At 35.4% G+C, this 25953-nt stretch overlaps 1 protein-coding gene and 1 pseudogene across 2 annotated transcripts in view, besides 1 other annotated feature; both read left to right on the plus strand.

Moving 5' to 3' along the window:
• The window catches only part of CFAP47 (cilia and flagella associated protein 47), a 465584-nt gene that overhangs the window by 286590 nt on the left and 153041 nt on the right, over window positions 1–25953 (plus strand). For both annotated transcript variants that reach the window (NM_001304548.2, XM_017029452.2), the window contains exon 46: window positions 22305–22501. In NM_001304548.2, coding sequence (NP_001291477.1) covers window positions 22305–22501 — 197 coding nt within the window. The remainder of the gene's footprint in view (window positions 1–22304; window positions 22502–25953) is intronic.
• Window positions 4681–5609, plus strand: HMGB1P16 (high mobility group box 1 pseudogene 16; annotated as a pseudogene).
• Window positions 8670–9171: an enhancer, noted in NCBI's record as "NANOG hESC enhancer chrX:36233110-36233611 (GRCh37/hg19 assembly coordinates)". NCBI's record gives its function as "activates a minimal SCP1, AML or CMV promoter by ChIP-STARR-seq in naive H9 embryonic stem cells {active_cell/tissue: H9 hESC(naive)}" and the evidence as "EXISTENCE:reporter gene assay evidence [ECO:0000049][PMID:30033119]".

Raw genomic sequence — 25953 nt, forward strand, 5'->3', positions numbered from 1 at the left:
TAATCCCTTTTGAGATAACTGGATAAAGCTGCATCTACTTTGAAACACAGAGAGGATTGTGAATGTATTTATTCAGCCATTCGTTCATCGACAATGTTGAGCATCAATTCCCCTAGGCAAAAAGATAAAAATTGCCTTATTCTTTCCTTTGGTGGACTCACAGATAAGTAGCTCTTATAATACAATGAGATAAGTGTTATATATAGACACATATAGAATGTGTTTATAAATAAAATTAAGAATTAATTCAGGTGACTATATAGGATAATTCAAATGTTAAAGCATTTCACTTTGAGAAAATGTATAACCAAGGATACACAGCATAGAATTGACTTAAAACTTGAAGTATAGCCTTATTAAACACTCATGAAGACTGTGTCATATTTAAATAGTTTTTAAGTTATCTACATTTAAAAATCTGTTCAGATATTTTTCTAAGGCTGATTTTTTCTTTCATATCAATTATTAATTATCCATTTTGGTAAGATGATTACTGTCAAAATATGAAAAAATAAAATGGCAAACAATTTTGAATTATCATTAATAAAACGTTTTAAATGTAGTTGGGCTATCATGGTTTATGTCTAACTCGATTTTCTGTGCAGCTGAGATTATAAAGGGATCTTTTCATCCTATGTTTCTGTTTTCACTGCCTTAAACAGGCACTTAAATGAAGTAAGTTTAAGAAGAAAGATATTAGTAAACTTTCAAAAATAGGATATTATAACTCAGGATAGTAACAAATGAAATAAAAGGCATGCCCTAAACTCTGTGCATTCTGCTGTTCAGAGGTGGACTTGAATAATGAAAAGGAATGGGATGCAAGCATTGTAACTTTAATAAATGCAATTCTATTAGAATTTGTGCCTTAGAAGATTAGAGTTATGTGTTTAGAAAACATATTTTTATGGTATAAACTGATTTTAGGAGAATAAACAAGCAAATTTCTGATAATAAATATGGCAATATTGAAACAAAACTTTTTTTTTTTCTTTTGGTGTCATGGAGAAAGAAACAAATGACAAGAATTTATCTGGAGAACCAGGGATAGCCCAGTGTTCCCCTAACTGCAGAAGACAGGTAGAAGTAGGACCATATTTATGATCACTTGAAGTTCTAAACTCATCAAAAGAAGCTAGTTTTAAGGTATTAAAAAAGTGGCTTTCTTTCCTCTCACATTAATGTTGTCAATCAGTCTTTACTGAAACATTTAGTGATTTTAGGGACGGATTTACTGTGATACCAAAGGAGCAGAAGCTTTATGATTTTTTACTTTTTTGACCCCCTTTCCTAGTCCCTGTACCTACTTTTATATTTCTAATTTTACATTATTGCTCTTTTGGAAGGCCCCTCCCGCAAATTGTGACAACCTCATGCCTCACAAAACTCAGAATTGAACCTGGGTGTAGATATTGACTTACAATCCCTTCTACCTGTGGTTCCTGGGATGTTGAAATTTATGGACAGGCAGAGCTTTATTGGCCTTAAATTGCTAGCATAGCTAAGCAGGAGACCTGCTATGTTTCCACTAGCAATTATCCAAATCACTTCCCCAATATACAGAGTCCTATATGAGCAATATTTGCCAAAGCACTCAAACAAAATGCTCCGGGCTGGTTTTGCTGATCAATTAATATGGAGCAAAAAACCCTCATTCCTAAGTGTTAATGACTTCAGTTTCTAGTATTTTGTATCGCTCTAATTTCTTCTGCTCCTTCTCTCTTGGGAGAAGAAGAAGAAATTAGATTAATTCAAAATATTGATCTAAATATTGATCTTCTAATGTGACAGACATGTTAGAAGAGCATATTGTAGGAGCACTGTTATCCTTCTGTCCCTTCTCCCACCTAATTCCAATTTCCCTAATTTTAAAATATTCACTAATAATTAGCAGTTAAATTGGTGGCTGAAATACCAGTAAATCATCCATGACAACTTTTTAATGTGTAACGTAATTGTAAATATGTAGAAAATATTTATTATCAATAACTAATACTATATGTACAGTCATCCCTCAGTATGCACAGGGGATTTGTTCCAGAACCACCCGTGTATACTCAAATCCACTCATACTCAAGTCCCACAATGGATCTCGGGGAACTCACTGATAAGAAAACTCAGCCCTGGGTATACACGGGTTCACGGCCCACAGACACTGTATTTTCTGTCTACATTTGGTTGAAAAAAAATCTGCATGTAAGTGCACCCATACAGTTCAAATACGTGTTGTTCAATGGTCAACTGCAGTTCTCATTTTACGAAGATTAAATACATTAATAGCTAAATTACTCTTCAGCCTCAAAATATAATTGAAAAATTGTGAAAAAATGAAACTAAACTAATCCTTAAAACATAAAATAGGTGAGGTGCGGTGGCTCATGCCTGTAATCCCAGCACTTTGGGAGGCCGAGATGGGTGGATTACCTGAAGTCAGGAGTTTGAGACCAGTGTGGCCAACATGGTGAAACCCCGTCTCTACTAAAAATACAAAAATTAGCCTGGCATGGTGGCGGGTGCCTGTAATCCCAGCAACTTGGGAGGCTGAGGCAGGAGAATTGCTAGAACCTGGGAGGCGGAGTTTGCAGTGAGCCGAGATCACACCATTGCACTTCAGCCTGGGCGACAAGAGAGAAACTCTATCTCCCCCAAAATAAAAACAAACAAACAAAAAAACCAAAAACTTATGAAACATACTTTGTAAATAAACTCTACATCTCTGTATCATATGGAATAACCACAAATACATTTCAAACAGGATAAAAAATAAATTTTGTTTAACAGAATATCAAATTAAATGCTAGTTTTAATGATGTAAGCTGACTTTAATTGGAACAAATCTATTATACTTTATTGTTAGCATTGCCAAAACTTACCTAATATTAAAAGTATGAGTCGGTTAATTTTTCTCAAAATAACAAGGGTTAAGCTTGTGTTATTATATTCGTCACATTAGTTTTTGGCAAAAACTCTTCAAATTTGCAAAACAAATTTAAAATTGAATTTCTTTAACTCACTTAGAAATATAATTTATATGTATCTTTCAGAGAGGATTGCCACAATTGTAAAGCATCCTGTCCAATTATAGTCCATATAAGAATGTGATTAGATTCTGGAAGAAAATCAGTAACCCATATACTACATTTAAATCTTATAAGATCAAAACATAAATTTTTTAGCAAACCCAAATTGGCAAGAGCAAGGAAATGACAACTCTGTTTTTGGTCTTTAAATGTAAATTTAATTATAAATATAATAAATTTTATTATAGTCTATCTTCCTAGAAGAGTTGCAAAAATAACCATAAAGGATACTTGTCATTTGAATTTACATCAAGTAAAAAATAAAAGGATATTCACCTGTGCTCACACTCAGATCTCTAATCCTCTATTTATGTATTTTGATTTTAAGGTTTGTTGAGATATCTTTCACATACCATACAATTCACAAATTTAAAGTGTATAATTCAATAGTTTTCAGTATATTTATAAATATGTGTAGTCATTAACACAGTCAATTTTAGAACACTTTTATGGTCTCAAAAAAAACCCAGTACTCTTTAGGTACCATGCCCCTCCATCCTCCACCATCCCATCAGCCTTAAGCAGTCACTAATCTAATGTCTATCTCTATAGAAGTGCCTATTTTGGAGATCTCATGTAAAATGAATCGTATGTTACATTTTCTGACTGGCTTCTTCACGTAGCAGTATGCCATTTCTAGTAATGATCAAATAATATTCCATTTTGTGACTATGCCCTACTTTGTTTATCCATTCATCAGTTAATGGACATTTGGGTTGTTTCTACCTTTTAGCTACCATGAATAATGCTGCTATCAACATTTGTGTACAAGGTTTTATGCAGACATATGTTTCTATTTATCTTGGGTATACATCTGTGAGTAGAAGGGTTGAATCATATGGGTAACTCTATGTTTAACCATTTGAGAAACTGCCAAAATTTTTTCCAAAGTGGCTGCACCATCTTACATTCCCACCAACAGTGTATGAGGATTCTAATTATTCCACATCATAGGCAACACTTGTTATTGTCTGACTTCTTGATTCTAGCCATCCTAGTGAGCAGAAGTAGTGTCTCACTGAGGTTTTCATTGGCATTTTCCTGATGAATAATGATGTTGAGCACCTTTCCATGTGCTTATTTGCCATTTGTATACCTTATTTGTATAAATGTCTATTCGGATTTTTTACCCACTTTAAAAATTTAGTTGTCTTTTTATCATTGAGTTGCAAGTGTTCTTTCTATATCTCAGATACAATATCTTATCAGATAGACATATGATTTGCAAGTATTTTCTCCCATTCTGTAAGTTGTCTTTTTACTCTCTTGATAGTATCCTTTGAAGCACAGGAGTTTTTTATTTCAATGAAGTCCAGTTTAACTGTTTTTGTTGTTCTTGTTGCTCTTGCTTTTGATCATATCTAAGAATCCATTGCCAAATGTGAGGTCATGAAGATTTATCCTTATCTTTCTTGTAAGACTTTCATAGCTTTAGTTCTCACATTTAGGTGTTTTATCCATTTTATGTTAATATCTGTATATCCTGTGAGAACTTCATTCCTTTGCATGTGGCTACCAAGTCGTCTTAGCAGCATTTGTTGAAAACACTACTCTTTCCACACTGAATGATCTTGGCACCTTTGTTGAAAATCAGTTGACCCTCTCACAGCCATTGCAGTACATTGATCTCCATAGAGACAGTGCCAGGGCAGGTGAGAGCCAGAAGGGCACTGGGCAATTCTGTGCCTCACTGAAGAAAAGTAACTAAACATGGGCAAAAGAGACCCTAAGCAGCCAAGAGGCAAAATGTCATCATATGCATTTTTTGTGCAAACTGCTCAGGAGGAGCACAAGAAGAAACAACTAGATGCTTCAGTCAGTTTCTCAGAGTTTTCTAAGAACTGCTCAGAGAGGTGGAAGACCATGTCTGTTAAAGAGAAAGGAAAATTTGAAGACATGGCAAAGGCAGACAAGGCCTGTTATGAAAGAGAAATGAAAATATATCCCTACTTAAAGGGGAGACAAAAAAGAAGTTCAAGGATCTCAATGCACCTAAGATGCCTCCTTCGGCCTTTTTTCTGTTCTGTTCTGAGTATCACCCAAAAACCAAAGGAGAACATCCTGTCCAGTCCACTAGTGATATTGTAAAGAAACTGGGAGGAATGTGGAATAACACTGCTGCAGATGAAAAGCAGCCTCATGAAAAGAAGGCTGTGAAGCTGAAGGAAAAATACAAAAAGGATATTGCTGCATATCAAGCTAAAGGAAAGCCTGATGCAGCAAAAAAAAGGGAGTTGTAAAGGTTGAAAACAGTAAGAAAAAGAAAGAAGAGGAGGAAGATGAAGAAGATGAAGATCAAGGGGAGGAAGAAGATGAAGATGATGATGATGGATAAGTTGCTTCTAGTGTAGTCTTTTTTTCTTGTCTATAAAGCATTTAATCCCCCTGTACACAACTCCCTTCTTTTAAAGAAAAAAAATTGAAATGTAAGGCTGTGTAAGATTTGTTTTTTAACTGTACAGTGTCTTTTTTTTTGTATAGTTAACACACTACTGAATGTGTCTTTAGAAAGCCCTGTTCTGGTGGTATTTACAATAGCCACTAACCTTGCCTGGTAGAATATGGGGGTTGTAAATTGGCGTGGAAATTTAAATCAGATTCTCGTTAGTGCACAGCACAAATTAGTTATATATAGGGATGGTAGTTTTTTCTTCTTCAATTGTCTGTGATGCATCTAACACAAAATAATTGTTCTGTTAACTGAATATCTCTCTAATTGCAAAAAAGAAACAGTTTCAGCTGTTTTGTTGACATTCTGAATGCTTCTAAGTAAAAACAATTTTTGAAATAAAAAAATCAATTGACCATAGATACATAGTTTATTTCTGTATTCTTTATTTTATCCCATTGGTCTACATGTCTGTCCTCATGCCAGTCCCAAACTGGTCTAATTACTATTGCTTTGTAGTAAGTTTTGAAATCAGAAAGTGTGAGTCCTTCAATATTTTTCTTTTTAACAAGATTATTTTGCTTATTCCAGACCCTTCCCAACCACAAATGGATTTTAGAATCTGCTCGTTGATTTATAAGAAGAAGCCTACGGGCCTTCTGATAAGTATTGCATTGATTCTGTAGATCAATTTGAGGAGGATTGTTATCTTAACAATATTGTCTTGAATCAGAAATTTGGAATTTTTTTTTATGTCTTTAGAAATTCTTTATTTTTTTAAAATGGGTTTTATATTTCTCAGAGTATAAGTTTTACACTTTTTTTAGTTAAATATATTCCTATTTTATTCTTTTTGATAATATCTTAAAAGTAATTGCTTTCTTAATTTCATGCTAAATTATTCATTACAAATATATAGAAACACAATATTTTTGTATATTGAAAGTGTATCAGAGATAAGCAGAGCAAGATGGCAGAATACAAGCCTCCATTGATCATCCCCTCTCCAAGGACACCAATTTAAAAACTATACGCAGCCAGGAGCAGTGGATCATCATGCTTGTAATCTCAGCACTTCGGGAGGCCAAGGTGGGTAGATTGCTTGAGACCAGGAGTTCGAGACCAGCCTGGCCAACATGGCGAAACCCCATCTCTACTGAAAACATAAAAATTAGCTGGGCGTGGTGGCACAAGCCTGTGATCCTGGCTACTCCGGAGGCTGAAACACGAGAATTTCTTGAACCTGGGAGGCAGAGGTTGCAATGAGCCAGGATCATGCCACTGCATCGAAAGTGAGGTATGGTAACCTCCAACTATTATTATTATATATTATTATTAAAAAGCCTATTTCTCTCTTTAATTCTGTCAATGTGTTTTATATATTTGAGGATTACATTTTATGGTTATATATGTTTCTAATTGCTGTATCTTCTTAAATAATGGAACTTTCATCATTCTATAATGATGTTCTTTGGCTCTTTTAACATTTTTTGACTTAAAGCTCATTTATAATTGTAGTATAGCCACTCCAGCTCACTTTTGGTTGTTGTTTGCCAGTGGTCACCAACCCTGGATGTACATCAGTGGTACCTGGGTACCTGCAACAAAATACATATTCCAGGCCCAACTCTAGGCCTACTGAATTATCCTCAGTTTGGAAGGAGTCTAGAAACCTATATTATCAAAATTATCCCTGCCCAGATCACTTGTGTAGTTAATCCATGTATTAGAATAAATTGGGGAACCACCACTTGCACAGCATAATGCCACCATGGTCCAACATCTCCATTTGTAAAAGGGAGAATGTTAGGCCCAGGAAATTTAAGTGTCTTCACAGACCATGTAGGAGATCACATCAAGTCTCCTGAGTAAGCATTCAAGTCTACTAAGTAATTAGAGTAAGTACACTGAGTAAGCCTGCTAAGTCTTCCTCTATTCTGTTTCCATTATGTTATGCTGCACAAAATGTGAAATCACAATGCTGTTTATTCTTACTCTAGTAATTGTCTTAGTTTGAGTCCCCTAGAAAATAAAACCTTAAGCAATAATTAAATACGAATACTTTATTTGGGAGATGCGAATTCAGGGCACTGAGAGTGGAAAAATAAAAATAGAAACAAGGAAGGGAAGGATGGGAGGTAAAGCAATGCATGATACATGAGCCGTTGCCTCAGTATCCACAACTTACCTCTGTGAATACAATCATGCATGGCTTAACAAAGGGGATACATTCTGAGAAATGCCTTGTTAGGTGGTTTCATCTTTGTACGAACATCACAGTGTACTTACACCAACCTAGATGGTATAGCCTACTAATCACCTAGGCTATATGGTACAACCTGTTGCTCTGAGGCTACAAACCTGCACACCAAGTTACTGTACCAAATACTGTAAGCAATTGTAACACACTGCTAAGTATTTGTGTAGCTAAACATATCTAAACCTAGAAAAGGTACAGTACAAATGGGGTATAAAATATTTTAAAAAAGATATACCTGTACAGGATACTTACCATGTATGGAACCTATAGGACTGGAAATTGCTCTAGGAGAGTCAGTGAATGAGTGGTGAGTGAATGTGAAGTCCTAGAAGATTACTGTACATTCCTGTAGACTTTATAAACACTGATACTTAGGCTACACTAAATTTATTTTTTTAATTTTATATAATAAATTAATCTTGGCTTACTATAACTTTTTTGCTTTATAAACTTCTTAGTATTTTTAAACTTGTTGACTCTTGTAATAAAACTTAGCTAAAACATATGTAGCTGTACAAAAATATTTTCTTTCTTTATATCCTTATTCTATAAATTTTTTTACTTTAAAGTTTATTTATTTATTTATTTTACTTCTTAAACTTCTTTGTTAAAAACTAAGACACAAGCACACACATTACCCTAGGCCTACACAGAGTCGGGATCATCAATATCACTATCTTCCACCTCCACATCTTGTCCCACACTGGAAGTTCTTTAGGAACAATAGCATGCATGGAGCTGTCATCTCCTATAATAACTATAATAACAATATTTTATTTTGGAATACCTCCTGAAGTAACTGCCTGAGACTATTTTACAGTTAATTTTTAGCAGGACACCCTAAAATAACAAGAAAAAGTATAGTATAATAAATACATAAATCAACAACACAGGCTGGTAATTATTTGCCATGGCAAATAAATTCTGGTAATTTATTACCATAAAGTTTTATGAACTGTACATAATTGTATGTGCTAGGCTTTTATACCACTTGGCAGCTCAGTAGGTTTGTTTACACCAGCATCACCACATAATATGCACTGCAGCAGGACATTATGACGTCACTAGGCAGTAGGAATTCTTCATCTCCATTATAATCTTATGGGACCACCATCATATAGGCACTCAGTGGTTGACCAGATAGTGCATGACTGTATATGCATCAGATTGCTCAGCAGGTGTCTCTGCAAAGTACCCTTGAGCCATCAATGTGAGAGAGAAAAGAAAAGGAATTTTATCTGCATATTTACTTCCTTGTCTCCTGTTCCTGTTTGCTAAACTTTACTCCATGGCCCTAGCATTTAAGGTGGCATTCTCTAGCTAAGATGTCAAATTCCATGCTCTACCAAGGCAAAAGGAGCCTGAAACTGAGCATGGGGGCAGGTCTGCTTGGTTGTAAAGGAGCAGTGAAGGGGTTGGCTCTATTGCTTCTGATGCAAGATATAGGTCACCCCCAAGCAGAGGAACCTGGAAAAAAAGACAAGTGGCTGAGGTTGATGGAGGTGGTGGCAGCGAAGGAATTGGAGTAAGCACATAAAAAAATTGGAGGAGGCACATAAAATGTATCACATACAGAAATGTTGTCTGTTGGGATTCAATCAGAATGGTGGCAGAAATATTAGGGAAAGTTATAGGGAATAGTCACAAACCTTTTGGAAGGCCGAAAGGTTACATAGCTTGTAATAATTGAACAGGCTGAAGGCAGCTGGTGCTTACCTTAGAGCATTAGGTCATAGGGTAAATACTAGGGACAATAGAGGCTTCCCCAGTTAAGTCTGTTTACCCTACCTCCATTAACTAACCTTTGAGCCAGATGGCCCTCTCCGGGGGAGGTCAACTAGGGATGTTGCCCCCTAATGGTATTTATTTCAGACCATGGTACCTGAGTTTTAATCATTCTGAGAACTACTCTCTTAACCATGTTAATTACCCACAAGTGTGTTGACTCAGAGCTTCTGTTGTTAATTGTATATGAAATAAATGCCTGGAGTGCAAGCTGCTCAGGGCTGGCCGCAGTGACAAACCTCTCTTGGTGGGCAGGCGGTCAGACACTCAGCAGGACTGGCAAAATAGAATATCTGTGTGTCAGTGTACGTTTTATTCATCCGTCATTTGGGTCAGGGTCTGCGGGCAGAGCCCCGCAGCTAATGCCCTCTTGTGAGAAGCAATACCTCAGTTGTAGTATTGTTATTTTAAAGAAGTCTACTAGTTACATTGTCAGTAGCATTAAATGTACTAAATTTCTGATTTCTTTCTCTTCCCCCTACCATCCCTGTTGACATGTTCCATCCCAGGTCCTGAGCCAATTTCTATCTCAGGAGTGGGTTCCAGAGGCCCATCTGTGCTGACCACCAGTCTCCCATGTCCTACTTGCAGTCTAATGAGTACCAGTCTGATGCTGGATCTGTTAGCCCTGGCTCCTCATTTACATTGTAACCACCCAATGGGTTCTCCTTGCCTGCTGCCTAGACAGAGCCAATTTATCAAAACAGGGGAATTGTAATAGAGTTTAATTTATGCAGAGCTGGCTGTATGGGAGACTCGAGTTTTATTATTACTTAAATTAGTCTCCCCAAGAATTCAAGGATCAGAGTTTTTAAGGATAATTTTTCAGGTAGGGGCTGGAGAAGTGGGGATTGCTTATTGGTCAGGTTGGAGATGAAATCACAGAGGGTAAAAGCCATCCTCTTGAACTGAGTCAGTTCCTGGGTGGAGGCCACAAGACCAGATGAGCCAGTTTATCATCTGGCTCCTGGCAGCTGATCCATCCAGGATACAGGGTCTACAAAATATCTCAAGCACTGATCTTGGGCTTTACAATAGTGATGTTATCTCCAGGAGCAATTTGGGGAGGTTCAGACTCCTAAGCCATAATTTCTAATCTTTTGTCTAATGTATTAGTTCCGTAAAGGCAGTCTTGTCCCCAGGTAGGAAGGGGATTTGTTTTGGGAAACAGCTGTTACCATCTTTGTTTCAAAGTTAAACTATAAACAGAGTTCCTCCCAAAGTTATTTTGGCTCATACCCAGGAATAAACAACAATGGCTTGGAGGTTAGAAGAAAGATGGACTCCATTGGATAAGATTTCTTTCACTGTCATTATTTTCTCAGTATTAATTTTTGCAAAGGTGGTTTCAGCATGATCCTTCTTTGTGATACATTTATTTCTGTCATGTCTGTCCCAGCACTCAGGCATAGATTTCTACTTTATTTCTTAACAGCCTAGTTTGTTTCTGCCAGCTCCCTCCCTGGGTACTGGTACACTCTTCCTGCCATCCATCATTGTTCTGGATAGCCCTAGGCCCCTCAAATAGGAATCTTTCCCTCAACTTGGGATCCTGGGTCTTTAACTGTGGAATTGGCGTCTTTTATACCAGCCTTACCCATTTCTTCTTTTCTCTATGCGACTCCCCTTATTTTAAGCTTGCTTCTTACTTTAGATAACCCCAGTGATAACTGTTACTTGATGGATATGCCTTTCTCCTGCTGCCCTCCCATACCTATCTTCTCATAGTCAGAGTCTGTACTTTGTTTAGTTGCAAATATATGCCCTGTGTACTTTGTTTAGTTACAAATATATGTCCTACTAACATTCTGGTTTTCTGCGCAATCCAAATTCTTTCCTCCTACTCTGCATGCACCAAACTACAATGAGATTTGATTGTGTTCTATGTTATTTAAAAAAATACACTTTAAGTCAAATAATGTAACATAACCAATTCAACATAATTGTAATATCCAAGACTGCATATATTCTTTGTCCTTATAGTTTTAATTTATTTTCAATTTGATAAATGACTCACTTTGCCTTTCATTGCTTTATATTTATAGACAGAGCTGGTAAGTAAAAAAAAAGTGAACTTTTAAAAAGTTTCTTGTTCTTTCTGTTAGGTCTTCAGTGGTAAACACATGCTCTACAATTATATATTTAGGGAGGCATTTAATCAGAAATTTCAGTAGTCTTTTCCATTATTTTAAGTCCTAGAAAACATGCTGTTTATTGGCTTGCTAGCAGCACATTCATACTAATTTGCACACTTAGTAAATCAGTCTGCAAAAATTAAAAATAAACTCTGTTCAAAACAGAATTTATATTTAATACAGGACAATTAGAGAAAGTTTATGGTATTCAGAAATGAAAATGCAAAATACAAAGTTAATTTGCTGTCAGCAATCCCTTGCTTCTTTCCATGTGGAGGGGTTAATTAGAAAGTGAAATCTTACATCAGTTGTTCTCTTTGGGTAATTTTGTCTTCTTAGAAAATAATAGAAAACTTACTATTTAAAATGCTATCAAGCTAGAACTCCTTGAAAGGTCCCCTCCTAATTTTTCATTAAATGACCCATGAAGGCCTACAGAAATCCGAAAATTCAACAGCAGCTAGCCATTTACATGTATCCTATGAGGAATTCCCAAAAATGACCACAACTGTAGGGGATTATCTGGAGGAACATCACTCTATCAATAATGTATAGAATCTCACATGAGATCTGGTAGTAGTGGTGGCAGAGATGGGAAGAGTCTACGTGAGTTGTGGTGCATTTTGTTGATGAAAAAGCCAAACTCTGTGAAATATTTAAAGAGGTTTATTCTGAGCCAATATGAGTGACCATAGACAGGAGAACAATCTCAGGAGGTCTTGAGAAAGTGCCTGAGATGGTCGAGTTACAGTTTGGTTTTATACATTTTAGGGAGACAAGTTACAGGGAAAGACATAAGGCAATACATACATGTAATGTATACATTGGTTTGGCCTAGAAAAGTCAAACATCTCAATGTGAGGACAGGGAGGGCTTATTACAGTTATAGAAGGATTCAAAGGTATTCTCATTGGCAATTGGGTTAAAGAGTTAAGCTGAAGACTTGCAGTCCTGGAAATCTGCTTGGAAAGAAATGCTTGAGTTAAGATAAATGGAGTTGTGGAAGCCAAGGTTCTTGTTATGTAGATGAAGCCTCCGGATAGCAAGCATCAGAGACAATAGATGCTAAATGTCTTTTTTTCAGACCTTAGAAGGTATCAGATGCTTAGTTAATCTCTCCTGGATCAGGAAAGGCCTTAGATGCATTAATGAAGATTCTCTACAGATACAAAATTACTCCCACAAAAGACAGAAGATTTGCAGGGCCATTTCAAAATATGTCAAAGACATGTATTTGGGGGTAAAATGATTTTATTTCATTCAGGGTTTGTTATTTGCCATGTGATGCTATACCAGAGTCAGTTTGGAATATGGTATCTTATTGACAAAAAGAGTCTGTTTCATCAGTCTTATGATATCTATTTAATCTTAATGATGGTCAATTGTGTCTAAACTCCAAAAGGGAGAGGGTATAACAAAGCATGTCCAACCTCCCTTTCCATCATGGCTGGTAATTCAATGTTTCAGGTTTCCCTTGGCCCAGAGGGGGTCCGTTCACTTGCCTAAGTGGTTGGGGTTATATTTTTGGCTGTAATATTATTGGTGGGACAAGAGTTTATTGTGAAAGGAAACTAAATCTTGAGGTCCCAAAATCACTATGCTAAAGGGAAAAGTCAAGCTGGGAACTGCTTAGGGCAAACCTGCCTCTCATTCTATTCAAAGTAACCCCTCTGCTCACTGAGATAAATGCATATCTAATTGCCTCCTTTGGAGAGGCTAATCAGAAACCCAGAAAAATACAACCATTTGTCTCTTATCTACCTATAACCTAGAAGCCCCCTCCCCTCTTCGAGTTGTCCCACCTTTGCCCACCTTTTCGGACTGAACCAATGCACATCTTACACATATTGATTGATGTCTCATGTCTCTCTAAAATGTATAAAACCAAGTTGTGCCCCGACCACCTTGAGCACATGTTGTCAGGACCTCTTGAGACTGTGTCACATCACGGGTGTGCATCCTCAACCTTGGCAAAATAAACTTTCTAAATTAACTGAGACCTGTCTCAGATTTTCAGGGTTCACATTATTGATTATAGGTTGAGTAAAACCAACGTGGAAATCCAAAATTTGAATGTTCCAAAACCCCAAATGCTCAAAATCAGAAACGTTTTGATCACCAACATGGTGCCACAGGTGGAAAATTTCACATTTGATCTCATATTAGGTCACAGTCAAAAGGCAGTCAAAACTTGTTTCATGAACAAAGTTACTTAAAATGTCATGTAAAATTACCTTCAGGCTATGTATATAATGTGTATATGAAACGTAAATGAATTTCCTGTTTAGACTTGGGTCCTATCCCTAAGTTATCTCATTATGCATATGCGTGTATTCCGAAATCTGAAAAATTCTGAAATCTAAAATACTTCTGGCCCCAGGCATTTCAGATAAGGAATACTCAACCTGTTAACACAAAGATATATATATATCCTGTTTGTATATGTATACATATATATGTTATATATATATTTTTAAGATGTAAATTTTTCTTTAGATCATTACAAAACTGCCAGGGCGTGAAAAACCAAACAAACAAACAAGTACCCTATCTACATTTAATAGGTAGATGCTTGTTTGATACAGGAAATGGGCCCAAGGGCTGCATATTGAGTTACCTCCATAGTTAGAACTAAGAGATTGCTGTAAAGTAAATATGGAATGAGGTCCTCTACAAGTGACCACCTAAGACAGATAAATTTCTTATCTTACTAGGAGCAAATAAGAATAAGGAAAAGCAGAAATAAAATGTCTACAATTCCAGAAGACAATAGAAGAATACCTAAATTTACACGTAGATAGATAGGTCATAGTGAAACCATAGAATGGCAAAGATAAGAGAAATTCCAAAAAGCAATGAGAGAAAAAAGCAGATTATTTTTAAAGGAACAAAAGTTATACTGAAGGCAGAATTACCAACAGTAACATTAGAAGCCAAAAGACAATAGCATTATAGTGCTGATGAAAATTAACTACCAGTCTAGAATTTTATGTCCTAGTGAACTATCACTCATGAGTAAAGATGAAATAATAACATTTGTAATTTAACAATGAACTTGAGACCATTTAAAACTCAGAGATTTTGGTAAAAGAACAAGTAGAAGGCCTCTTATTGGTGAAGGAAATTGAATTCAGAAGAGAGAATTGGGATCCAAGAACAATGGTTACTAAAATAATCAGTAAATGTGGGTAACTCCCATGAGGATTTGACTGTAGAAATAATGATAAGAATAAATAATTCGGGTGTTACCAAAACAAAGTGAGCTCAATTACTAGATAGCAACTTTATAAGGAAGGGTTTGCCATTATAGGCAAGTAAAGTTCTTACATTTTAGGGACCAGGGTTGAATTACTGTAAGATATTTTTATGTGAAGTATTAGATGTTGAATATTTGGGGCAATGAAAAGTATAGGGATAGAATGTATAATTTCTAAACCAGTAGAGGCATAAATGAAAATAAACAAAACTTGATGAATTCAATAGAATTCAAGAATAGAAAAGAACAAAATAAAATGGGATAAAGTGTGGCAAAAAATGAGATGTTAAAATAAACACAAATATATCATTAATCACAATAAATATGAACAGACTAAACTATAAAAGGTGATATTTTCACAATGAAAACTAAAATGTAGCTTTATACTGTTTATAAAATTTCCTGGTAAAATATCAAAAAACCTATACCAGGTATTTACTAATCATAAAATAGTTGGCATAGATATATTAATATTAAAACAAGTAGACTTTGTGGTAAATAAAGTATTACTTAATTCAAAAAGGGAAAAATCCAACTTAGAGAAGAAACTTTGAAATTATTTATACCTGAACACATATTCTCAAAATGTATAAAGCCAAAATCAATTAATGTGAAAAGAGAAATGAACAAATTCTAAATTACAGTGGAAGATCTTATTAGACCTCTCTCAATAATTGACAGATCAAGCAGACAGAAGGTTAATAAAGCCCTGCTAGACTTGAACAACAAAATTAATAAGTTTTTCTATAGCTCTTAAGGCTAGCTTGACTGTGCTGGTAATGATTGGCCATCCTTGCCATTTACATACTACAGCACTCTGGTATCTGTCTATGACCTTCTTTCCCTGTGCTTTAGGGCACCTGGGAGAATGTGCACTTAACAACTTTTCAGTAACAGGGAACTGCATACCAGTCTGCCCTGCTGGCAGATACTTACAAACTTCATGGGAAGGCAAGTCCAGTGCTTTCAGACATTTGAGGTTGGTCCGGCAGAAAGGATCACATGACATTCTTTTAGCATTCCAAATACTTTTCATTTTCCTTCCTCAATTCCTACTTCCCCTCTCCTTTATATTTATCCTCTTTTTTTCTTCTTTTCTTCCTTTCTTTCCTTTTCCTTTCCCCTCTCTCTTCCTATCACTCTTTGTCTTTTATCCCCTAAGTATTATATTATTTTAAATCTCCCTGGTAATAGAAAAGGAAAAGTAGTTCAACCTCTTTTTAAATAATAAAATGAATTTTAACCAATATTTTAAAAATTGAATTTGTCAATAATAAGTATAGGTCTTTATTATTTTAAATTATTTTATTGAATATTATAATAAATATAACAATTTAAGCAGTTAGTCCATTTTAGAAAATGGATTTTTTTCCTGAGTGGACCATATTACAAAATTTCTACTAATACAAATTTTTTACAAAATAAACACTGTAAATTTTTTAACTGCTGATTTCTTTTTTTAATGTCTATGGCTACATTTCATATTTTTATTAAAGAGGAAATAGTAATGAACAGTTTTTAGCGCAAAATCACTTTTCCAGAGTATTTGTGATTCAGATACTCATGTACATGCCTACAAAAATATAATAATATAACCAAAATGGGAAAAATTTCACTTTACTTGTGATATAGTTTGGATCTGTGTCCTTGCTCAAATCTCATTTCAAATTGTAATCACCATGTTGGAAGTGGGAACTAGTAGGAGGTGATTAGATCTTAGGGGTGGTTTCACATGAATGGTTTAGCACCATACTCTTGATGCTGTACTCAGGATAGTGAGTGAGTTCTAGTGAGGTCTGGTTGTTGAAAAGTGTATAGTACCTCCCCCTACTCTCTTCTCTTACTTGTGTTCCTGCCATGTAAGATGCCTGCTCCTGCTTTGTCTTCTGCCATGATTGTAAGTTTCCTGAGTCCTCCCCAGAAGCCAAGCAGATACTTCCATGCTTCCTTTATAGCTTACAGAACCGTGAGCAAATTAAACTTTTTTTTTAGTTAAATAAATTTCCCAGTCTCAGGTATTTCTTTATAGCAATGCGAGAATGGCCTAAGAGAGCAGGTAAGTTAGTCTTTTGACTTATACAATAGAAAAAAAGCCTACATTGAGTTTTTAGCAGTAGATGGCAGTGTGATTAACAAATAGGCCAAAAAATTCTCTAAAATATAATTATTCATGTTTTCTTATAATAAATATTATACAATTATGTATATACATGTAATAAATATAATTATTCATTCTTAATTATTCATTTTCTGAATTAAAAGCTCTGACTATTGTTTGTTAATAATATACCAAAAACAACTATAGAAGGCAGTGTTCAACTTACTATATTACTTAATCTCTTCCATATGTTTGATGTGTTTTTATACAATTATGACCTATTAAGGCACAAACAAGTCTAATAAATTAGTTAATCAAATTATATTCTATGAAGCCCCAAAATTCTTCTGAAGTGCTTTGGCTTATCTATAGTGAGGCCATGGAAGTAAATGGGGACTTCTAGCTCCTCATTCTACTTCAACCAGATTAACTCCAGTTTCCTTTGTTTTATATGTTAATTCAATTTTAAATATTGTTCATACACAGTACGTCTAAGCCAGAAAATAAAAATTTTTGAAAGCTATTAATCAAATCCCACTCATTGAAAGAGGTTAAGAAGTTTGGAGGGACGTGTGGGTTGAAAAACTACTTATTGGGTATTATACCCACTACCTGGGTCCAATATACCCATGTAAAAATTCAATACATGTACCTCCCTGTATCTAAAATAAAAGCTAAAATTAAAAAAATTATAAAGTTAAAAATTGTTTTAAAAATTGATGTTCTTAAATAGTTGGGAGGATATTAAAATAATGCTTATGTCTTAACTTTCACAACTATTTTTAGATGGCTTTCAGTTTTAAAATCACATGCCAAAAATATCTGGGAGGGACTACCTTGTATCCATGGGGGGAAATAAACCCTTTTCTGGTATTAAAAATATATAGAGTACATTTAGAAAATAAACTTGTGGTTGAAAAATGAAAGGAAAAAAAAAGAAGTTGAGTTTAAAAAAAAACCTTAAGTTGTTTGCTTAAGGTCACACAATGTAGAATTGGAACCAAAACTGAAAAAAAGTGTTTTAACTCTCAGTTGATTTTATCTTTTTCAGGTCACAAGTTTTATACATGTATGTTTCTCTGCAGTTAGGGAATTGTAGATTATTACAGTAAAAGCCCAAGTGGATCATATCTGCCTTTACACAGGTTTTGTATAGTCTCCCTTTCCTCGTTGACCTGGTTGTGGCCATGTGACTTGCTTTGGACAAAGGATCATTTAGGAATGGGAAAGAGGCAGATATTTGATAGCTTCTTTTACATTAGTCTCTTTTTTGCTGCTGGTAATTCTTCTGTACTCTATGAAAAATGATTGGGCTCATCTCATACAGGATTTGAGTGCTCATGGACAGAATTCCCAGCTGAGATCCAAAGACCACAGTCAATACCCAGTATATACACAGGTCAAAATACCCAGGTAGTACCATGTGGAGATGATAAGCTGTCCTAAATGAGCTCAGGCCACAGAATTATGAGCAAATGAATGGTTGTTGCTTTAAATCACTAAGTTTTTGGGTAGTTTGTTATGCAGTTGTAGCTGAACAAAACAATGGTATTGATTTTTTGTTCCAACTATGACCTATTCTAGGATCTGAACATAGTATATTTTTATGGGTTATTTGAAAAACTGTAGATAGCACTGATTTCTTCCAATAACCAAAGTTAAATGAAATGATGTAGTCTTTACTTCAAGAAATTCTTTCTTTATGTTTATTTTCTTCAGTAATTGTAATTTTTCTGTAAATTTACATATATTCGGTTATCTTTAAATATAGAATCTTGACAATTGCCACACTTGTAAAGAAAAGATACAGGTTAACTACATCTGAGTTGAGTAGGGATGGAAGGGACAGATCCAGATAGTCCCTAACATTTGTTATGCCCAAGTCAAGAGTACAAATGGAAACCCACATAACATATGTCTAAATTTTAAAAACTTACAAATCAAACTAACACATTTCAAAATAGAATACATTCTATTATTCCATTTTAACAAATCTAACCTTATAAGAACCTTGAAGACCAAGTTTGAATTTAGAATTTTTGGACTCCTCAGAGTTTTGCACTAGAAAATGACAGCACAGGGTAGCTGGGTGCTAGTCAGGTGCCCACATCATTGTCTTCTTTCAACTCTTACATGCACTCTAATGGTTCTTATGTTTAAACATGTGGATATGTCAGCCCACACACTTACTCTTGGTCCATACCCTCCTAATAGTGACCTCTTAGTTACTGCACAGTTCTAGGAGTCTTCTACCAAGAGGACTGACCTAGGGAAGAGTCTTGTGAAAGCACTGTAAACAGGATCAAGGAACTATGGATTGTGAATTATAATGTCTCATGAACTTGAACCATGGGTGGGGCTGGGATCCATAGAGATCTGTCCCATTGGGCCCATGTACTTCTTGCACGTGCAGAGAGGCAATGCCAGAGGAGGATCAGAGTAAGGCCCTAGAAAGCATGAGACCAGGACAGGAACCTCTCTATCCTGGGATTTAGGGCATGTGTTAAGCTAGGTAATTCCAAAGCAGACCCTGAGATCTGGTCTTGAGAGCAAGTAGTTTGAGAGGTGATCCCAAAGCATAGGTAGGGGAGTAGGAGACTGCAAAGAGAAGAAACCAATTCCAGGGATTTTAATTATCAGGTTATCATTGCAGGCAATTGGGACTCAGTCCCACTGGGGGCCTCTGGAAGTTGGTGTCAAATTCACCTCAGAGTTCTTCTAACCAAAGGGCAAGAAAACAGATTTTTTTGTTCGTTTGTTTTTTAGCAATTTTGATCAATTTTTGGTTTGGTACTGCTCCTGCAGGCTTTTACTACCACTTCTGGATGATCTATGTGAGAACTGAGTACCATTCTTTGTCTAGAGAGAACTTTCAAGGAGGAAGTCACACATATCCATAAATCCATGCCCTTTAAGGCATACTTAAAGGGGACATGTCAAGGCATGGACAGCATTTGCTACAGTCCAGAATTGGAAATAGATTTAAGAAAACATGTCCCATTATTATATGATGGCACAATGTGTCCAGTAAAATTTCCAAATTTCTGAAGATCAAAATGGTTTCTACCTCTGCTAGTTTACATCTGATGGGGACGCAAATACTGTCAAATAAATATCTTAACCCAGAAGTTTTTAAATCTCTTATTTATAATATATATCACCCCTACTTATGTTTCTTATACAACTTAATAAAATTATTTTGGATATTTAAAAATGAAACAGATATTGATTTATAAATACATCATCAAAATTAAAATTATAATTTCCACAAATTCCACTATTATAATGATTTACTTTTTGGATTTGTAAGAGAGAGGGGCTGACATTGTGTAGCCCTTAAAGTCCTTGCTCATAAACATTTCATGAGTTGGAAAATGTACACTTAAGAATGTCTTTGGCTTTAACTTTCAGACTCAGCAATCATTAGGAAATGAACATTTTTTTTGGAAAAAGAAATGTATAACATAAAGCTTTTGACAGAAATTTTATACTTGAACTTGTGCGTTGCAATGATTGTGTAGCATTAAATAGCAAGAGGTTTTTATCTTTGATGAAAACAATAGATATTCTGCAATTCTTAAAATTGTCTGAACAGTTTAATTCTTATATAAATAAAATAAACGTAAATTAATAGAATTCTATTTAAATTACATATTCTAAATATTTTTATTTCATTCTCTTCATCCAAGAAAAAAAAATGAGTTCTGTTTATGCCTGTTATTAAAACAACAAATAATTTTCTGTGCTGATTTGTTCTATTGAGATTGCCACAACACAAATACCTCTCTCAGGATAAAAGTAATCAATTAACAACAGATGATAAAATGTGCCTGGAGTCCTTTTTGCCAAGAAAAAAATGTGTTCTAAAATTAGGTTTATGCTTGAATAGGATGGAACAAAAATAACATTCTGAGAGCCTTTGAGAGTAACTGTTTTCTCCTCAGACCAGCTGAAGTCTTGAACTTGTTGGATGTAATACAAATTTCAAATATTATCCATTATCAGCATGTTTTAATATGTACTATTCAATGTAGCATTATACATTATATATATTGTATTACATATAGCAACATAGACATGGAATATATGCTATATAATATTCAATTAATATAAGATATGTAACATTACATAATGTATAATTTATAACACACACATAAACTCTTGTTTGATAAAGGATTTAGGGTAGTTAATGTTCTTGCATAGAATGTTCTTGCGTATAAATGTTCTTGCATATCTTGGCATATACATTTCATTGTATTTGAAAACAACATGCCACCTTTCACATTTGAAGTGTTCACTTTGGGAGAATTAAAATTGTAGCCATTTAATGTCATAATATGTGTCTGGCCAATTGATTGATATGCTTGATTTGTTTTCTTGGTTTCAGAGAACTTCCTTGTACAGAATTAGGCGTCAGATGTTTTTAAAATCATTTGTTGTTTGTTGACTATTTAAATAGTTTGGCATTAACTATGAAACTTTTATTATGTTCTTATACTGCATTCTACTTTAGGGTTGCCAAATTTTTATAACTATTTTCTCATTTTATGGATGCCAAGGAAATGGTGACCTTCAGAGAAAAAGTGGTGTTGCCTGAAAGGAAAGAATGAGAATAGATAGCTCAACCTAGCGTAAGAAGTAAAATTAGCTAGTAGCTTAAGGTAAATGTTGTAACGGGGTGTTATGAGAAGTATTAATTACACATGCACTTTTCTGGTTCCCTTGGTTATTAGCTATGAAAAAATTATTTCTATCTGCTGGCCAAGTTGCAAATTATTTTGATTGCTGTGAGACAGAGCACCTCTAAGTCATAGAAATGTGGCTGACAGTAAAGCCCATCTAATATTGCATGTATTTCCTTCTATCTCAGCCCCCTTTCTATTAGGTAGAGTCACATAGCTGGGTCTGGCCAGTTAAATGTAATGTTTATATTAATTTTGAGCTGAAAACTGAAAAGTCCTTGAGCAAACTTCCAGCCATTCCTTTTCCCCTGACCTCTCAGCCAAAGAGCAGAGACATTTCTTATGGTACAAATGCAAGATGGTGGTATCTTTCACAGTATGGAGTCCTGAGTGACTTTGAGGAGCACACTGTTCTCTGACCAGTGCAGTATATATACTCTAATTGATAAATAAGCTTGCATGGTAAGCCCTGGAGATTTAGAAGTATTGTGTTATCCCAGTGAAACCTATTCTAGGTTATGCAGTACAATTTAATACAATAATATTAAATATTGCTTACCAAGATGAATTTTAGGTTTTATATGATTTTAAATGAACTGTTTTAAAATTATTTTGATAGCTTCAGATGGATCTGTTCCACTTCCTTTGCAATTTCTTCCTCTCCAATCTGGACGCTACCCTTGTAAAATTTTATTGAAATCAAGGTATGATGTGCGTGCCTATTATGTTGAAGGTATTGTGAATGAAGAACAACCAGAGGCCAAATTTGAGTTTGAAACACCAGCATTTGAAGCCCTTACTCAGAATATTCCAATAGTATGTATAAACTTTTTTGGTACCTTTCTTTATTCATATTGCCACTGTGTCAATTAAAGTCCTCCAGACCTCTCATCTTGGACTATTACAAATTTCTGACTGTCTTATCTGCTGTCAATTATTTCTTCATATTTATGTCAGAATCTCTTCCTAAATATAAATGTTATTATGTTACTCATCTCATTAATCACTTCTGCTGGCTCTTTGCTTAAAACAATTAACTCCAATGTCCTTAATGTATCATTAAATTCCTTCTTGCTTCAACAAGCAGAGTTATGGACTCTCAGGTCACTCTACTCTAAATTCTGTTGTGATCTAACACTTGGTTAAGATGGGTTCATAGGCACTGAGAACAATGATTGCCTGTAGCTTGGCTACCTATTAGTCAAAGTGACAATATAGTGTAAAAGAAGGTAAGATAATTGTAAAGAACTTTGGCTTTTTAGAGGGATAAATTGCCTTTTTTGGTTTATTTGTCTAATTATTAAAGACATGACAAAAGTCAATCTGAAGCACAAAATTTTGTTCTGATGAGATATATAATCTTTGCTATGTGAGCAACATACCAGGTAGAATGACAATTATTACCTTGAATTAGAAGTAAAGTGTGTCCTCTAAGGCCATTTTATCATCTTAATGGTAATTAGTAAGTGAGACAAAGGGAATTTCTTTAGATATTAAATGATCCTTCGATAGATCTATTAGGCAATGCTCTTATGTGACATAGAAAGAACATGTAGTCATCATTATGCCTTATGTTTACATTTTTGATATTTATTCTTTTTTTATTTTATTATTATTATACTTTAGGTTTTAGGGTACATGTGCACAATCTGCAGGTTAGTTACATATGTATACATGTGCCATGCTGGTGTGCTGCACCCATTAATTCGTCATTTAGCATTAGGTATATCTCCTAAAGCTATCTCTCCCCCCTCCCCCCACCCCACAACAGTCCCCAGAGTGTGATGTTCCCCTTCCTTTGTCCATGTGTTCTCATTGTTCAATTCCCACCTATGAGTGAGAATATGCGGTGTTTGGTTTTTTGTTCTTGCGATAGTTTACTGAGAATGATGATTTCCAATTTCATCCATGTCCCTACAAAGGACATGAACTCATCATTTTTTATGGCTGCATAGTATTCCATGGTGTATATGTGCCACATTTTCTTAATCCAGTCTATCATTGTTGGGCATTTGGGTTGGTTCCAAGTCTTTGCTACTGTGAACAGTGCCGCAATAAACATACGTGTGCATGTGTCTTTATAGCAGCATGATTTATAGTCCTTTGGGTATATACCCAGTAATGGGATGGCTGGGTCAAATGGTATTTCTAGTTCTAGATCCCTGAGGAATCGCCACACTGACTTCCACAATGGTTGAACTAGTTTACAGTCCCACCAACAGTGTAAAAGTGTTCCTATTTCTCCACATCCTCTCCAGCACCTGTTGTTTCCTGACTTTTTAATGATGCCATTCTAACTGGTGTGAGATGGTATCTCATTGTGGTTTTGATTTGCATTTCTCTGATGGCCAGTGATGATGAGCATTTTTTCATGTGTTTTTTGGCTGCATAAATGTCTTCTTTTGAGAAGTGTCTGTTCACGTCCTTCACCCACTTTTTGATGGGGTTGTTTGTTTTTTTCTTGTAAATTTGTTTGAGTTCATTGTAGAATCTGGATATTAGCCCTTTGTCAGCTGAGTAGGTTGCAAAAATTTTCTCCCATTTTGTAGGTTGCCTGTTCACTCTGATGGTAGTTTCTTTTGCTGTGCAGAAGCTCTTGAGCTTAATTAGATCCCATTTGTCAATTTTGGCTTTTGTTGCCATTGCTTCTGGTGTTTTAGACATGAAGTCCTTGCCCACGCCTATGTCCTGAATGGTAATGCCTAGGTTTTCTTCTAGGGTTTTTATGGTTTTAGGTCTAACGTTTAAGTCTTTAATCCATCTTGAATTAATTTTTGTATAAGGTGTAAGGAAGGGATCCAGTTTCAGCTTTCTACATATGGCTAGCCAGTTTTCCCAGCACCATTTATTAAATAAGGAATCCTTTCCCCATTGCTTGTTTTTCTCAGGTTTGTCAAAGATCAGATAGTTGTAGATATGCGACGTTATTTCTGAGGGCTCTGTTCTGTTCCATTGATCAATATCTCTGTTTTGGTACCAGTACCATGCTGTTTTAGTTACTGTAGCCTTGTAATATAGTTTGAAGTCAGGTAGTGTGATGCCTCCAGCTTTGTTCTTTTGGCTTAGGATTGACTTGGCAATGCGGGCTCTTTTTTGGTTCCATATTAACTTTAAAGTAGTTTTTTTCCAATTCTGTGAAGAAAGGCATTGGTAGCTTGATGGGGATGGCATTGAATCTATAAATTACTTTGGGCAGTATGGCCATTTTCATGATATTGATTCTTCCTACCCATGAGCATGGAATGTTCTTCCATTTGTTTGTATCCTCTTTTATTTCCTTGAGCAGTGGTTTGTAGTTCTCCTTGAAGAGGTCCTTCACATCCCTTGTAAGTTGGATTCCTAGGTATTTTATTCTCTTTGAAGCAATTGTGAATGGGAGTTCACTCATGATTTGGCTCTCTGTTTGTCTGTTATTGGTGTATAAGAATGCTTGTGATTTTTGTACATTGATTTTGTATCCTGAGACTTTGCTGAAGTTGCTTATCAGCTTAAGGAGATTTTGGGCCGAGACAATGGGGTTTTCTACGTATACAATCATGTCATCTGCAAACAGGGACAATTTGACTTCCTCTTTTCCTAATTGAATACCCTTTATTTCCTTCTCCTGCCTGACTGCCCTGGCCAGAACTTCCATCACTATGTTGAATAGGAGTGGTGAGAGAGGGCATCCCTGTCTTGTGCCAGTTTTCAAAGGGAATGCTTCCAGTTTTTGCCCATTCAGTATGATATTGGCTGTGGATTTGTCATAGATAGCTCTTATTATTTTGAGATACATCCCATCAATACCTAATTTATTGAGAGTTTTTAGCATGAAGGATTGTTGAATTTTGTCAAAGGCCTTTTCTGCATCTATTGAGATAATCATGTGGTTTTTGTCTTTGGTTCTGCTTATATGCTGGATTACATTTATTGATTTGCGTATATTGAACCAGCCTTGCATCCCAGGGATGAAGCCCACTTGATCATGGTGGATAGGCTTTTTGATGTGCTGCTGGATTCGGTTTGCTAGTATTTTATTGAGGATTTTTGCATCAATGTTCATCAAGGATATTGGTCTAAAATTCTCCTTTTTGGTTGTGTCTCTGCCCGGCTTTGGTATCAGGATGATGCCGGCATCATAAAATGAGTTAGGGAGGATTCCCTCTTTTTCTATTGATTGGAATAGTTTTAGAAGGAATGGTACCAGTTCCTCCTTGTACCTCTGGTAGAATTCGGCTGTGAATCCATCTGGTCCTGGACTCTTTTTGGTTGGTAAGCTATTGATTATT

The sequence above is a fragment of the Homo sapiens genome, chromosome X, assembly GCF_000001405.40.
Source record: "Homo sapiens chromosome X, GRCh38.p14 Primary Assembly".
In the NCBI taxonomy this organism is placed as follows: domain Eukaryota; kingdom Metazoa; phylum Chordata; class Mammalia; order Primates; family Hominidae; genus Homo; species Homo sapiens.